The sequence below is a fragment of the Homo sapiens genome, chromosome 16, assembly GCF_000001405.40.
Source record: "Homo sapiens chromosome 16, GRCh38.p14 Primary Assembly".
Lineage (NCBI taxonomy): Eukaryota > Metazoa > Chordata > Mammalia > Primates > Hominidae > Homo > Homo sapiens.
In genome coordinates, this window is record NC_000016.10 from 19580973 (window position 1) to 19598405 (window position 17433).

General features: G+C 44.8%; 1 protein-coding gene across 7 annotated transcripts in view; it reads left to right on the forward strand.

Annotated features, from left to right (window-relative positions):
• VPS35L (VPS35 endosomal protein sorting factor like) overlaps window positions 1-17433 on the forward strand; it is a 145461-nt gene that overhangs the window by 25270 nt on the left and 102758 nt on the right. For all 7 annotated transcript variants that reach the window (NR_158161.2, NR_158160.2, NM_001365295.2 and 4 more), the window contains exons 7-8: window positions 553-681; window positions 10818-10902. Coding sequence is in view for 4 of the 7 variants with exons in the window: in NM_020314.7 (NP_064710.5) it covers window positions 553-681; window positions 10818-10902 (214 nt within the window). In the remaining 3 variants the exon portion in view is untranslated. The remainder of the gene's footprint in view (window positions 1-552; window positions 682-10817; window positions 10903-17433) is intronic.

Sequence of the window (17433 nt, forward strand, 5' to 3'; positions counted from 1 at the left end):
TCAGATCCAGTATATGTGTCCCCATAGAATTGTGTTTTCTCCTGAGCATTTATCTCAGTTTGAGTTAATATCCGTCTGTCTTCAGAATCTTAAGCTCCATTAGTGCTGAAATACCCTGTCATGTCTTATTGCTTGGGAATCTTGAGCAAAAATGTCTTTGTATCTCGATCATCTAGTCCCATGTCCTGCACACAGGGGGCCCACAGTTGGTTGAATGAGGTAAGTCTTGTTACCTCAATTCACAGATGAGGCTGTGAGAGGAAAATAGCTTACCCAGGGTCACACAGCTACTTGGTGTCCAAGCTGGGAGGTGGCTTAGGTCTGACTTGCTTCCAAGGCCAGACTTTCAACCCACAGCACTCTGTCCATCTTTGTCAGAAAACTCAAAAGAACCTCTTTGATTGCAAATTGCAAGGCAAAGCTGTCAATCCTGGCGGGGATATGAGGAAAATTTAGAGACCAAAACTCAGCCAATACCTAGTATTCTTTATAAGGGTGTAGTCGAGCAATGTTTTTCCTGCTATGCCTTCACCTTCTGCCTTCTCCCCACAGGGTTCCCAAAAGGAGCTGTTGAACTTGACTCAGCAGGATTACGTGAACCGCATAGAGGAGCTCAACCAATCGCTGAAGGATGCCTGGGCCTCAGACCAGAAAGTGAAGGCTCTAAAAATAGTCATCCAGGTTAGCTCTAGTGATCCCCCACCCCCACCCAGAATTTCCTATGTAAAATTCCACTGTGAGACTTAGAGTTTTCAGGGGCCTACCTGCAGGGTCTTACTCTTGTTTTCTCATCCCTTTCTTTTTCATATACTTCCTGTGAAAAGCCATGATTATGAATCTGTGTTTTTATGAGATGGCTAATCCCAGGGTTACCATGTGCAGCTGCACAGGTTGTGCACTGCACAACTCCAGGAAGCACTCTTCACCCTAGGTTACAGAACTGATGATACCCCATGTGTTGTGCAGTACATTAACCATGGTGCAACCCCTGACACATTTATGATTTGTACACACTAAAGATTGAGCAACTTTCTTTCGGGATTCCTTGACCGCATTCGCTTGGTGTCTTTGGGATTAATGACGTGTCCCTAATAAATGAATATTTCAGACATATTATGCATGCTTATGTGACAAGGAGAAGTTTACAGCGTTGGGAGAGGTACATACATTGAATCTTCTTTGTTGATGAATTTGTTAAGCCAGTGACAATTCTTGAACCACAAGAACAAGTACTATGTGGAAAACAGCTTATATGTCTTGGTCCTAAAGATCCTGCTGTCTCAGCAAAATGTGCTCAGAAGCATATTTGGAAAGGAATAATTCATTAAATTATCATTTTCAGAGCAGAGTCTACAAAGGATTTCTGAACTGCCATTTTAGTTCAAAAGGACAGATCCCATTCTCATTCCATGTTATGATAATGTGACATTTGTTTTCTCACCTGTTCTTTTGAAAGACAGGAGAGTCCGGGAGTCTTCACACTGGACACATGAAGTCTTTTAAGATGACTCCTTGTATAGTACGGGTGATTTCTTTGGTATTTCATGATGGGAGGCAAACCCACGCCCGTTTCTCTTCAATCACTGTTGTTAGTTTACAGAGTAAATAGTCCCGAAGGCCAGGCCTCTCATCCTGGAAGCCCGTGGAGAGGGTTGCTTGCTGAGTGTCTCGAGTGAGAAACTATCTGAACTAACAAGTACTTCTTCACAATATTTGCATTGGCAGCATCTCTCCGTAGATTATTGTAGTTTAGAACTGTGTCTTCTAAGAGGTTTACATCTGGGGGAGATTTGATTCATGTCTTCACAAACAAAATAATCATTAAGTGTGTTTCATCAACTCCACATCTGGCTAATAGTAACGATTCAACAATACATTAAGGACTGCCTTCTTTATCCAAAAGACATAGTCAAGGCTGGGCACAGTGGCTCACATCTGTAATCCCAGCATGTTGGGAGGCTGAGGCGGGTGGATCACTTGAGTCCAGGAGTTTGAGACCAGCCTGGCCAACATGGTGAAACCCATCTCTACTAAAAATACAAAAATTAGCCAGGCTAATTTGCTATACGGTAAAGTTTTTTTGTGTGTGTTGGGGGGGTACCCAGTGGCTGCTTTACTAAGGCATATTTTACATATCATAAAGTCCACCCATTATAAGTGTGTAATTCATTGATTTTTTTTTACTTAACTTATAGAGTTGTGCAACTAACACGCAATCTAGTTTTAAAACATTTTTATACCTCCCCAGATTCCCCCGAGCCTGTCTGTAATCAAACCCCACTGCCATACCCAACCCCAGAAAACCACAAGTCTGTTTTCTGCCTTTATAAATCTACCTTTCCTGGATATTTCATATACATGGGATTATTCAATAGATAATCTTTTGGATCTGGCTTCTCTCACATAGTGTAATGTGCCTTTTTAATTGATAGATAATAATTCTACATATTTATGGGGTACAGAGTGATATTTTGATACATGTATCCCGTGTGTAATGATCAAATCCAAGTAATTAGCATATTCATCACCTCACACGTCTCTGATTTCTTTGTGTTGGGAACATTCAAAATCTTCTCCTCTAGCTATTTAAAAATACACAATAAGCTGGGCCTCGTGGCACACCCCTGTAATCCCAGTTACTTGGGAGGCTGAGGCACGAGAATTGCGTGAACATGGGAGGTGGAGGTTGCAGTGAGCCGAGATCGCACTACACCACTCCAGCCTGGGTGACAGAGTGAGATTGTCTCAAAAAAAAAAAAAGGAAAACAGAAAGAAAAGAAAATACACAATAAATTTTGGACTATAGTCACCCTAGGTGCTATTGAACACTAGAACTTATTCCTCATATGTAGCTGTAATTTTGTACCTGTTAACCAACCTCTTTGTTCTCCCCTTGCCCCTACCCTTCCCAGCCTCTAGTCGTCGCTGTTCTACTCTCCACTTCTATGAGCTCAACTTTCATAGCTCCCACATATGAGTGAGGACATGCAGTATGTATCTTTCTGTGCCTATTTCACTTAACATGATGGCTTCCAGGGTCATTCGTGTTGCTGTGAATTACAGAGTTTCATTTTTTTATGGCCAAATAATATTCCTGTGTGTGTACCATGTTTTCTTTATCCATTCATCCATTTATATACATTTAGATTGATTTCATATCTTAGCTATTGTGAATAGTGCTGCAGTAAACATGGTACTGCTGGTATTTCTTTGATATACTGATTTTCTTTTCTTTAGATGATAACCTAGTTGTGGGATTGCTACATCATATGGTAGTTCTATTTTTAGTTTTTTGAGAAATTTCCATACTGTTTTCTAGAATTGTTACACTAATTTGCATTTCCACCCATAGTGTGTAAGAGTTCCCTTTTCGGCTGGGTGTGGTGGCTCACGCCTGTAATCCCAGCACTTTGGGAGGCTGAGGCAGGTGGATCACCTGAGGTCAGGAGTTCGAGACCAGCCTGGCCAACATGGTAAAACCCCATCTCTACTGAAAATACAAAAATTAGCTGGGCATGGTGGCAGGTGCCTGTAATCTCAGCTACTTGGGAAGCTGAGGCAGGAGAATCGCTTGAACCCAGGAGGCAGAGGTTGCAGTGAGCCAAGATTGCACCATTGCACTCCAACATGGGCAACAAGAGCAAAACTCTGTCTCAAAAAAAAAAAAAAAAAGAGTTTCCTTTTCTCTGTATTCTTATCAGCATTTTTTTTCTTTCTTTTTGTTTTTTTTTATTAAGAGATGAGGTTGCCCAGGCTGGAGTGCAGTGACTAGTCACAGGCATGATCATTCTGCATTACAGCCTAGAAGTCCCAGACTCAAGTGATCCTCCCACCTCAGCCTCCCAAGTAGCTGGGACTATAGGCACATACCACCATGCCCAGCCTATTTTTGTCTTTTTGATAGTAGTCATTTTCATGTGGTTTTCATTTGATGATTCCCCTGATGATGAGTGATGCTGAGCATATTTTCACATACTTGTTGGCTAATTTGTGTATCATCTTTTGAGAAATGTCTCTTCAGCTCTTTTGTCCATTTTTTAATTGGATTATTTTCTTTAGCATAATATGTTTGAGGTTCATCCACATCATATTACATGTGGGTAGTTCGTTCCTTTTTACTGCTGAATCGTATTCTAATGTGTGGTTATCTTAACAAGTTGATGGGCATTTGGGTTGTTCCCACTCTCTGGCTGTTATGAATAATGCTGCTCTGCACATTTGCGTACAATTATTTGCGTGGACTTACATTTTTATTACTCTTAGGTAAAATTTTAGGAATGGAATTGCTGGGTCATATGGTAAGTTAGGATTAACTTGATGAGAAACTGCCAAACTATATTCCAGATGGCTGCACCATTTACCTGAGGGTTCTAATTCCTCCACATCTTCTCTGACACTCGGTATTGTCCATCTTTTCTTCTGTTTTCTTTTTTCTTTTTTTTTTTTTTTTTTGAGACAGGGTCTCTGTCACCCAGGCTGGAGTGCAGTGGTGTAATCATAGCTCACTCCAGCCTCAAACTCTGGCCTCAAGCGATCCTCCCGCCTCAGCCTTCTGAGTAGCTGGGACTACAATTGGCCACAACCATGCCCAGTTTATTTAAAATTTTTTTTTTGTAGAGACAGGGCCATGCTGTGTTGCTCAGTCTGGTCTTGAACTCCTGGCTTCAAGTGATCTTCCCATCTCAGCCTCCCAAAGTGCTGGGATTACAGGTCTGAGCCATCACACCTGGCCTATCAGTTTTGTTATAACCCTCCTACTATCCTAGTGGGTTTGAAGTGGTACCTCATTGTGGTTTTAATTTGTATATCCCTAACAGTGATGTTGAGCATCTTTGTACACGCTTATTGGCCATTTGTATATCTATAGTGAAATGTCTATTCAATGCCTGCCCATTTAAAAATTGTGTTATTTGGTTGAGTTGTAACAATTTTTTTTTCCTTGGGAGACAAGGTCTTGCTCTATGACTCCAGATGGAGTGCAGTGGTGCCATCACAGCTCAATATAGCCTTGACCTCCCGGGTTCAAGTGATCCTCCCACCTCAGCCTCCCCAGTAGCTAGGAGTATAGACATATGCTGCCACACCCGGCTAATTTTTAAATTTTTTGTAGAAACGGAGGGTTTTACTTTGTCATGCAGGCTAGTCTCAAACTCCTGTGCTCAAGCGATCCTTTCATCTTGGCCTCCCAAAGTGCTAGGATTACAGGCATGAGCCAGTGCACCTGGCCAGTTGTAACAATTCTTTATATATTTTTGACACTATTTCTTTGTCAAGTATAGGATCTCCTACTCTGTGGCTTGTCTTTTTGTTTTCATAATTGTGTCTTTGAAGTGTGGAAGTATGTATGTATGTATGTGTATATTTATTTATTTATTTATTTATTTGAGACAGAGTTTCGCTCTCGTTGCCCAGGCTGGAGTGCAGTGGCATGATCTCAGCTCACTGCAACCTCCGCTTCCTGGGTTCCACCGATTCTCGTACCTCAGCCTCCTGAGTAGCTGGGATTACAGGAGCCTGCTATCACGCCCAGCTAATTTTTGTATTTTTAGTAGAGATGGGGTTTTGCCATGTTGGCCAGGCTGGTCTCGAACTCCTAACCTCAAGTGATCCACCTGCCTCGGCCTCCCAAAGTGCCAGGATTACAGGCGTGAGCCACCGTGCCCAGTCAGAAGTTTTTACTTTCAGCTCCATTCTCAATTTTCTCATTTTAGCTTATGCTTTTGTAGTTGTATCTAAGAACTCTTTGCCTAGCTCAAGGTCATGAAGATTTTTTTGTTTTCTTCTAGAAGTGTTATAATTTTAGCACTTACATTTAGGTCAATGGTTCATTTTGAATTACTTTTTATATATCCTATAAGGTAAGGATCTAAATAATTTTTTTGCATGTGGAGCTACAGTTGTCTCAGCAACGTTTGTTGAAAAGACTATTGTATTAGTCCATTCTTGCATTGCTATAAAGAACTACCTGAGACTGGGTAATTTATGAAGAAAAGAGGTGTAATTGACTCACAGTTCTGCAGGCTGTATAGGAAGCATGGCTGCGGAGTCCTCAGGAAACTTAAAATCGTGGCAGAAGGCAAAGGGGAAGCAGGTACATCTTTCCATAGCAGAGCAGGAGAGAGAAAGAGAGAGAGAGAGAGAGAACAGGGAGGTGACACAGGTTTTCAGACAACCAGATCTCATGAGAACTGTCTGACAGGAACAGCAAGGGGGAAGTCTGCCCTCATGGTTCAGTTACCTCCCACCAGCCCTTTCCTCCAACACTGGGGATTACAATTCGACATGAGATTTGGGTGGGAACACAGAGCCAAACCATGTTAACTATGTTTTTCTCTACTGAGATCTTGGCACTTTTGTTAAAAATCAATTGACCAAGGCTGGGCGTGGTGGCTCATGCCTGTAATCCCAGCACTTTGGGAGGCTGAGGTGGGCGGATCAGCTGAGGTCGGGAGTTTAAGACCAGCCTGACCAACATGGAGAAACCCTGTCTCTACTAAAAATACAGAATTAGCTGTGTGTGGTGGTGCATGCCTGAAATCCCAGCTACTTGATACTCAAGGTTGAGGCAGGAGAATCACTTGAACCCAGGAGGCGGAGGTTGCGGTGAGCCAAGATCGTGCCATTGCACTCCAGCCTGGGCAACAAGAGTGAAACTCCGTCTCAAAAAAAAAAAAAAAAATTAATTGACCACTGGTGGCAAATTCAGACTACTTAAAAAACAAAAAAACAAAAATCAATCGACCATAAATGTAAGAGTTTATTTCTGGACTCTCACTGTCATTCTGTTGATCCATAAGTCAATCCTTATGCCAGTTCCACATTGTCTTTTTTTTTTTTTTTTTTTTGAGACACAGTCTTGCTCTGTCACCAAGGCTGGAGTGCAGTGGCGTGATCTCTGCTCACTGCAACCTCTGCCTCTCAGGTTCAAGCGATTTTCATACCTCAGCCTCCCCAGTAGCTGGGATTATAGGTGTGCACCACCACACCTAGCTAATTTTTGTATTTTTAGTAGAGGTGGGGTTTCACCATGTTGGCCAGGGTGGTCTCGAACTCCTGACCTCGAGTGATCCACCCACCTCGGCCTCCCAAAGTGCTGGGATTAAAGGCATGAGCCACTGCGCCTGGCCAGTTCCACATTGTTTTGATTACTATGGCATTATAGCAAGTTTGAAACTGGGTAATATAAGTATGTATGTATGTATGTATGTATGTATGTATTTATTTATTGAGACAGAGTCTTGCTCTGTTGTCCAGGCTGGAGTGCAGTGGCATCATCTTGGCTCGGCTCACTGAAACCTTCACCTCCCAGATTCAAGCGATTCTCCCACCTCAGCCTCCCGAGTAGCTTGGATTACGGGCATCTGCCACCATGCCCGGCTGATTTTTGTATTTTTAGTAGAGATGGGGTTTCACCGTGTTGGCCAGGCTGGTCTCAATTCAAACTCCTGACCTCAGGTGATCCACCCACCTTGCCCCCCGCAAAGTGCTGGGATTAAGGCATGAGCCACCACGCCTGGCCTGGGTGGTGTAAGTCTTTTAACTTTTTTTTTCTTCTTCTTTTTTTAAATTATTTTCACTGTTCTGGGCCCTTTGCATTTCTGTATGAATTTTAGGATCAGCTTGTCAATTTTTACAAAATAAAAAAAACCTTCTGGGATTCTGACAGGTATTGCATTGAGTATGAAATCATTTTCTGATGCATAAATTTTGCCATCTGTTGATGAGCATCTGGCTCTGTTCTTTTTTCACTACATGGACAATGTCACTGTGAGCACGTTTGGTCACGTCTGCTGGTGCCCATGTAAAGCTTTTCTCTAGATAAGAGCCTATACCTAAGAGTAGAACTGCTCTGTGCCTCTTCAGCTTTTCCAGATAATGCTAAGTTATTTTCCATAGTAGCTGTGCCAGCATACGCTTGTAGTAGTATGTGGGCGTGTGAGAGTCTGTGCTATTCAACATTCTACCACCATTTGGTATGAGCAGATTTTCTATTTTAATTTTTCCAGTCATATTTTCTTGTGGTTTTAATTTGCAGTTCCTCGATTACTAATAAAAATGAGCATCTTTTCACATATTTATAGGCCTTTGGGGTTTCCTTTTCTGTAAAATGACCTTTGCTGATTTCTTTTGCCCATTTTTCCATTTTGTTATCTGTGTTTTTCGTACTGAGTTTTGCAATTTTTAAGATGTATTCTGGATAGTAATGGTCTACTTCTTTCCTTCCTACTCAGGTCATCTTTGAATGTATGCATTTGTTGTGGCTATTCAAATTTTTTTAACCTTTTTTCTGAGACAGATTCTTGCTCTGTCTTCCAGACTGGAGTGCAGTGGGGCGGTCTCGGCTCACTGCAACTTCTGCTTCCCTCGCTCAAGTGATTCTCCCACCTCAGCCTCCTGAGTAGTTAGGGCTACAGGCACACACCACCATGCCTGGATAATTTTTGTATTTTTTGTAGAAACTGGGGTCTCACTACATTGCCCAAGCTGGTCTTAAACTCCTGGGCCCAGGCGATCTTCCTGCCTCAGCCTCCCAAAGTGCTGGGATTACAGGCATGAGCCACCATGCCCAGCTGGGATTTGTATTGTTAACACATACCTGGGTTACCTGATTCTTATCAGACAAGTTTAGGAAGCGGCACCAAAGCTTTAAAAACTGTGGCATCTTCAAAACAGTAATTTAAAAAGTAACTTCAATTTATAAGATCATTATAGCTTTAACTTTGGATTAAAAACAAAATCTTATTCCTGTTGTCCTTTATAAAATATATGTTCTATGAAACCAGCTTGGGAGAAAATCAATGCACAGATGTTTGGGAAGCCCCAGCTGTGTTTAATTTGAAATCCTCTGTTTAAATTCTCTCTCTCTCACCTCACCAGTGGGCAGTAACTCATCTCTGAGAGACTGTCCAAGCCCAGCTCTGGGTAGAACTCAGAGATGTCACATCCCTAGGAACCGAGAACTGTGTATTGTAAACAGTCTCTGAGATTTGGAGTTGTTAGCTTTTTCCAGCCTTGAAATCTCATGGGGGCAGCTGTTTAAGTTGGAACTCTCACAAAGGGCATATGAAAATCGCAGAGCGAGGTGTCAGGAAATGGAATTCCACATACATCCAGTTGCCACGTTTGGTGTCAGCACTATTGTTTTTACAGCTTACATTCCCGCCCCGCCCCCCCCCCCCCCCCCACAAATAACATTTGGGCTGTAAGGGGATGTTTCGCAAATCAGACACGTTGTTTACTTTTAGGCCTGTAATGCTATGGAGAAACTTGGTGACTCTAACAATTTAGATGTTGGGTAACAACACCAAACTGAAAACACATGTCAACCTATCTCTTGACATGGTGAACGTTCTCACCATTCTCTGCATATTGGAATTGCATATTAAATAATCCTTTCTAAATGTCTGAACATCTTTTTTTTAATTTTTAAATGACATTTTTCTTTCTGAGGGTCAACCATTGAGGTGATGAAGTGTGGCAGTTATTTAATTCCTTATGCTGACTTTTGAATTTGTAAAGTCTTCAGGGCATGGCATTAAATTTAGTTCTTCAAAGTAGAAAGAGCTTTTCTGTTTCTGATGATAAAAGATAATCAAAGGTGTTTGGGGCCACATTGTGTGACTGCGGTCTTCCATTAAAAGTCCTGAACGCTAAATAGCAGACGAGTACTCAAAAAAAGAGTTCTGAACATGTTGGCCGGGTGCAGTGGCTCATACCTGTATTTCCAGCACTTTGGGAGGCTGAGGTGGGAGGATTGCTTGAGGTCAGGAGTTCAAGACCAGCCTGAGCAACATAGTGAGAACCTGCCTCTACATAAAATTAAAGAAAAAAAATTAGCCAACCATGGTGGTACATACCTGTAGTCCCAGCTACTCGGGAGGCTGAGGCAGGAGGATTGCTTGAGCCCAGGAGTTCATTGCTGCAGTAAGCTATGATTGCACCAATGCACTCCAGCCCGAGCGACAGAGCAAGACCTTATCTCTAATAAAATAATAATAAAATTTAAAAAAATTAAATAGTCCTGAACATGGCTGTGACCCTTTGGCATGAATGAGAATGTAGAATTCAGCAATTCCCCGCAAAGCTGAAATGTTTTCAGCATTGAAGGTCATATTTCCAGAGTAACATGTATTCACTGAAGCTTATGTTCCTTTTGGGGGGAATTTGGGACTGAGTATAAATAATCAGTGTGAGTTTATGAAGCCTTGGGGATTTACTTATGGGGTCATTTCTTAGAAAAGAATGTTTAAGGATGCTGATCACCCTGAAATCAACAGAAGAAGCCAGTCTGCAAAGCAATTGAACAAAGATGGGGCCACAGATGAGGACTGTGATGAGAGAGATGTCATTCACTTCTCTCAGTGATTTTGAGTGCTTCCTGGTTCAGTATACAAGCAGGATCCTTTTGGATAAGGCTTTCCTGAAGAAGGTGATAGTGTATTTTCTTAAGAGACTGTTATGGGCCGGGTGCGGTGGCTCACGCCTGTAATTCCAGCACTTTGGGAGGCTGAGGTGGGAGGATCACTTGAGGTTGGGAGTTTAAGGCCAACCTGGGCAACATAGCGAGACCCCATCTCTACAAAAAAAAAAAAGGAAGGGAAAACAAAGAAGAGGTTCTGTTGTAAGCAGAGTCCGGCTCTCTCTGTGAAAAGCACAGTGGTTTAGCTTGTCATTGTATGCTCAGCACCTCGCACAGGCCTTGGCACATAGTAAGTATCTCAACTTGTATATAGAAACCATTAATTTTTCAGATCTGGAGTGTCCTACCCATACCAGACATGCCAGAGTGAATTTTCTCTTTTTTTCTCTTTTTTTAGTGTTCAAAGCTTCTTTCAGACACCAGTGTTATTCAGTTCTACCCAAGCAAATTTGTCCTTATCACCGACATACTTGATACATTTGGTAAGTACCTGTCATATGCATCTTAGATCTAGGAAATGTGTTCGTTTTGTCAAGAATTGGGTGGTAGAGTTACTGTAAATTAGGTTCTGCTGTGGTTTAAGTTATTAAGTAAGTCATGGGAGAGATCAAACCGTTCCCCCCCACGCCCATTAATAAGGGCGCTATTTTTGAAACATTCTAAAATTTCTAAAATTTTATTTTTTCTTCTTTTTTTTTTTGAGTCAGGGTCTTGCTCTGTTATCCAGACTGGAGGGCAGTGGCGCAGTCATGGCTCACTGCAGCCTCAAACCCCTGGGCTCAAGCCGTCTTCCTGCCTCAGCCTCCTGAGTAGCTGGGGCTACAGGCTCATGCCACCGTGCCCAGCTAAGTTTTTTTTTTTTTTTTTGGTAGAGACAGAGTCTCGCAGTGTTGCCCAGGCTGCTCTCAAACTCCTAGCCTCAAGTGATCCTCCTGCCTTAGCCTCCCAAAGTGCTGGAATTACAGGCATGAGCCACCATGCCTGGCCTGTTTTTCCTAATCTTGTGATAGACTAGTAAAGTGAATGAGTGAAGCAGGGCAGGCTGGGGGCACTAAGCAGCATGGGTCCCTTGCCGTCTCACAGGCACCTGAAACTGAACTTGGCATCTGTTCCCAGCCCTTTCTCTTTTCCCACTGAGTTTCTGTCTCCAGGAATGGCACCACCATGTACCCAGTTGCCTGAGCTGGGAATCTGAGCATCTTCCCCCACATGCCCATGTCCAGTCACCAGATTCTTCGGTTCAGCCTCCTAAAGCTCTCCCCAGCATGTCTATTTTTTTCTTTCTTCACTGTTAAAATTTTTTTTTTTTTTTTTGGAGATAAAGTCTCTGTCACTCAGGCTAGAGTACAGTGGCGTGATGTTGGCTCACTGCAACCTCTGCCTCCGGGGTTCAAGTGATTCTCCTCCCTCAGCCTCACCAGTAGCTGGGATTACAGGCACGCACCACCACGCCTAGCTAGTTTTTGTATTTTTAGTAGAGATGGGATTTCACCATGTTGGCTAGGCTGGTCTCAAACTCCTGACCTCAAGTGATCTGCCCTCCTCGGCCTCCCTAAGTGCTAGGATGACAGGCATGAGCCACTGTGCCCAGCCTCACTGTTAAAATTTTAATCCTAGCCACAGTCCTCTCCCACCTGGATAGCTTCCTGCATCACTGTGGCTGCCCCTAGTCCCACACACCACCTCACAGGTAGAGAGACCTTTTGGAGCCAGGTAGAAAGGTTTAGACTGAAGAGAATAACCTGGAGGAGCAGGAGGCCCCTGTGCTGCTTGGCAGTGGTTGGTTAGGCCAGAACATCGTGCCATTAGCAGTTTGCTCAAACCATGCAGCCCTCTAAGCTGTATATGATGTGCCCCACAGCAAGGCACCCCACCAGAACCAGGAAATAGGGGCGCCTTCTGAGAGCTGAACACGTGGAAGATCAGAACAGAGACATTCACTGTCTTACAGGGACTAATGGGCTCCCAACCCAGCAAATCTTATCTGTAAACCCATCGAAAGATACAATGTGTCAGAAAGCAGACTATCAATCTGAGAGACTCATTCATTTCTGTGCATCCCAGTCCTGTCCAAGAGACCGGAGGCCTGAGTGCGCTAGCTAAAACAAGTGACAAGAAAGCTAACTAACCTTGAAAAAGTGGGTCTTTATTGGCTTATGCTGAAAAGTCCAGGGGTAGTTTGGCTTCAGGTGCAGCTGGATCCAGGAACCCAAACAGTGTCATTAAGACCTTGCCCTTGGGCCGGGCATGGTGGCTCATCACACTTGTAATCCCAACACTTTGGGAGGCCGAGGTGGGTGGATCATCTGCAGTCAGGAGTTCAAGACCAGCCTGGCCAACATGGTGAAACCCCGTCTCTACTAAAAATACAAAAATTAGCTGGGTGTTGTGGTGCACACCTGTAGTCCCAGCTACTTGGGAGGCTGAGGCAGGAGAATTGTTTGAACCCAGGAGGTGGAGATTGCAGTGGGCCAAGATCACGCCACTGCACTCCAGCCTGGGCGACAGGGCGAGACTCCGTCTCCAAAAAAAAAAAAGAAAAGAGAAAAAAAAAGACCTTGCCCTTGGTTGGGTGCATTCTCGAGCTTCACAAGCTGTCCTCAGCTTCTGCTAGCTTTATTGCTAGTGGTCCCAGGGCATGGAAAGAGCTACTTTCTCCAAGCATTCCCACAGAAGTTTCAGAATCCCATCTTATTGGCCTGGCTTGGATCACATGTCAGTCCCTGAGCCAGTTGTGTTATCTGGGGGATGAAATGCACTGATTATCCAGGCCTGGGTCACCCCAAAACTAAAAGAGTGATACAGTTAGCAGAAGAAAGGGGAGTGGATGCTACCTGGGCAAAAAGAAGAGATGTCCCAGCTGACAGATGAGCCCTGATGGGTTCAGATGGCCCGGAGAGGTGGTATCAGGCTCTCTGCAGGCCACTAGGGAGGTGTCAGCAAACAGAAGGGATAAAAATCCTTGCCTTGGCTAGGCACAGTGGCTCACGCCTATAATCCTACCACTTTTGGAGGCTGAGGTGGTTGGATCACTTCAGGTCAGGAGTGCGAGACCAGACTGGCTAACATGGTGAAACCCCATCTCTACTAAAAATATAAAAATTAGCCAGGCTTGGTGGCAGGCACCTGTAATTCCAGCTACTTGGGAGGATGAAGCAGGAGAATCGCTTGAACCCGGGAGGTGGAAGTTGCAGCGAGCTGAGATCGCGCTGCTGCACTCCAGCCTGTGCCACAGAGCTGAGATTTCGTCTCAAAAAAAAAAAAAAAAAAAAAAAAAAAGAAGAGAAAAAAAATCCTCGCCTTTGTGGTGCTTATGTTTCCAAAAAAGAGAATTTACAAAACAATTAAGTCAACCCAATTGTATGTTAGACAATGATCCATGCTATGGAGAAAACCAGAGTGGGGTGAGGGGGTGAAGAGGAATGGAGGGAATTAGGTGAGGGGGTAGGGGTGCAAGTTTAAGTAAGGTGCTCAGAGGAAGCCTCGTTGAGAGGTTACCTGAGCAGGTGCTTGAAGGCGGTGAGAGGGGAGAGGTGAGCCCTCTGGGTCTGTGGGGTGGAGGCCAGGGGCAGAAGAGGCCAAGGAACAGCTTGTGCGGAGATCCTGGGGTGGGAGCATTGGGAGCATGCCAGGCTGGCCTGAGAACCAAGGAGGCCAAGAGAGAGGCGATGAGATGAGCCCGGGAGAGGGGCAGAAACTGACATGGTCAGAGATCATGGTGGCCTTGGGGGCCACTGGGAGGACTTGGGCTTTGACTCTGACTCTGAGGACAGGAGGGGCCACCAGAGGGTGTTGAGCAGAGGAGGGAGGTGATCCCACGTGGGATTTAACAGGCTCCGTGTTGAGACTAGACTGTAGGGCGGGGGTAGAGCCCGGAGCCTGTGGCAGCACTTGCGGTGAGAGGCAGGGGTGGCTTGGCCCCGGGAGGCGGTGGAGATGGTGAGGAGAGACCCAGGATGGATGAGGGCTTTAGGTTCTCAGGTTAGATGTCAAATCATACACTGCTGGTCCTTGACGTGTCCATGCACACAGCTTACCTTCGGCGAGTGTGAGGCCCTCATTGGTGGGGAGAGGCTGGTGGCTGTGTCTGGCTCCCCTGGCAGTCTCATTCCTCCCGTGAATTAACCTCTTGGCCGTCTGGTTCCCTCGCCCGCCTCTCCTAAGTTTCTTTTGTATGAGTCAGCTTTCCTGAGCAAGATTAACTCTGAGACACTGATTAGCTCTATCCTGCAAGCCTGGCCAGACCCAGACAGCTCACTCACCTTGCAAGAACTCTGGGCAGCCACTCTGCCAGCTCCTGCCAGCAGCACTCCAGCCCCGTCCTGTACTCCCCGGGCTGTAGTGCAGATGCTGCTGTCCTTGTTGCGTCCCAGAAAACAGCTGGGCTGGGAGTTGGGAACAGCAGTGGTAAACCTTCAACAGATGATGACCTTGGACAGACTGTTTAGGTGCTTTATAGATATTAAGTCCCGGCCAGGCGCAGTGGTTCATGCCTGTAATCCCAGCACTTTGGGAGACCAAGGTGGGTGGACCACAAGGTCAGGAGTTCAAGACCAGCCTGGCCAATATGGTGAAACCTCGTCTCTACTAAAAATACAAAAATTAGCCGGGCATGGTGGTGGGCACCTGTAGTCCCAGCTACTCGGGAAGCTGAGGCAGGAGAAAAAAAAAGATATTAAGTCCCATAATCTGCATAACAGCCCTATGAGATGGGTCTGGTTGTTGTCCCCATTTTATAGATGAGGAACCTGAGGCTTGGAGAAGGAAAGTAGCTTGCCCAGGGTCACCATCATAGTGAATTGCAGAGCTGAGGCTCAACTAGCTCTCTGCAGTCAAAGCACCTACTTTATTTCTCTTTATACATTGCTTATGGGGGAATGCATATACCATTTTTTTTTTTGAGACAGGGTCTCACTTCATTGCCCAGGCCACAGTGCAATGGGGTGATCATGGCTCACTGCAGCCTTGATCTCCTTGACCCAAAGGATCCTCTTGTCTCAGTCTCCCAAGTAACTGGGACCACAGGTGTGTGCCACCATGCCCAGCGAATTTTTTTTTTTTTTTTAGCAATGGGATCTCACTGTGTGGCCCAAGCTGGTCTCAAACTCCTGGAGTCAAGCCATCCTCCCACCTTGGCCTCCCAAAGTGCTGGGATTATAGGCATGAGTCACTGCACCTGGCCTAAATGCATGTACATTTAACCCAACAGTTTCACCTCTGGGAATCTATCCCACCTGTAATAGCAAACTATAAGAAGCAACTCAAGTGGCCATCAATAGGAGCTAGCTCAATAAATTATGGTGTGTCTGTATAGTGGAGTACTAGTGGCTCTGTGAAATGAAAAGGCTGGGCATGGTGGCTCACACTTGTAATCCCAGCACTTTGGGAGGCCAAGGCGGGCAGATCACTTTGAGCTTAGGAATTCGAGACCAGCCTGGGCAACATGGTGAAACCCGTCTTTACTAAAAATACAAAAATTAGCTGTGCGAGGTGGTACGCGCCTGTAATCCCAGCTACTCGGGAGGCTTAGGTGGGGGAATTGCTTGAACCCAGGAGGCAGAGGTTGCAGTGAACTGAGATCAAGCCACTGCACTCCATTCTGGGTGATAAAGTGAGACTCTATCTCAGAAAAACAATCAAACCAACAACAACAACAACAAAACAACAACAAAGAAGGGAAGGAAAGGGCTGGGCATGGTGACTCACACCTGTAATCCCATAATCCCAGCACTTTGGGAGGCTGAGGCAGGAGGATAACTTGAGTCCAGGAGTTCAAGACCATCCTGGGCAGCATAGCAAAACCCCATCTCTACAAAACATTTAAAAAAAATAGCTAGGTTTGGTGGTACAAGCCTATAGTCCCAGCTACTTAGGAGGCAGAGGCAGGCAGATTCCTTGAGCCCAAGAAGTTTGAGACTGCAGTGAGCTATGATGGTACCACTGCACCCTAGCAAAAGTAAGACCCTGTCTCAAAAAGAAGAAAAAAAAAAAAAGAAAGGAGGAAAATGTAGACTACATGTTGGTATTCACTTGTGTCTCCCTAAGGAGACATTAAAATGATAGCCAAGAAACCGATAGAAATGGTTTCTCTCAGAGGGTGTGCAGGGCAGTGAGGTGGATGGGATGGGCCAGGAGAGAAACTGCGCTCGGTACCTTCTGCAGCTTTTTTGAATTTTGAACCAAGGGAATGTTTTACCTATTCAAAACCAAACATTCACACAGAGTAGCTGCTTTCAGCACTTCCCAAGGTCCCTGTCCTTCCTCTCCACTTCAGAATGGTGTTCCCACGGTGCTGTTGTTTAAGTCTATTGTGAATAATATTCCTCAGGACTGTTGAGGCAGCCTGCATGGACAGATGCTCAAAGAGTCTTTATTAAGGTTTGGGGCTAATGAGTGTTCACTTTATAAAAAAGGAGTGAAACCCTGACTTGCTTGGTGGAAATGTGGAGTCCTGAGCTCCATTTTTCTGCACATGGTCATTACTCTGCTCTAAAAGAAGATGCATGACAGTATAGGGACAGGTGTTTCATGGTTGTTGACATCATTGACAAGAGGGTCAGAGCATCTTGCTGTGCCAGGGATGCAGGCTAAGGCCCCAGCATCCACAGAGACTGGCATGCACAGTGGGAAGACGTGTGCCTGGTTTCTGCTGGGATTTCACTGGAGGCATTGGGTACAGAGGTGGGCTTCTGGCTTCAGTGCCTGCGTCTCCTGTTTCAGGGTTGTGTGAACTTGAGCCTCAGTTTCTCCACCTGTAGAATGGGGCTATCGTAGACCCTGCCTCTAAGGGTTTCTGGAGAGGATTAAATGAGAGGATTCATAGGAAGTATAATGTCTTTCCTTTTCTAAGAGCTTGCTGGCAGGATTAAAGTAAATGACCTTGAATAGTGCTTGGCACAAAGTAAGTGCTCAGAAAATGCTAGCTGTTACCACTGTTATTATTTATCTCTTTTAGTGTCTTTGATTTGTAAGAAAGCAAATCAAGACAGGAAATAAATCTAGGATCAAGTGTT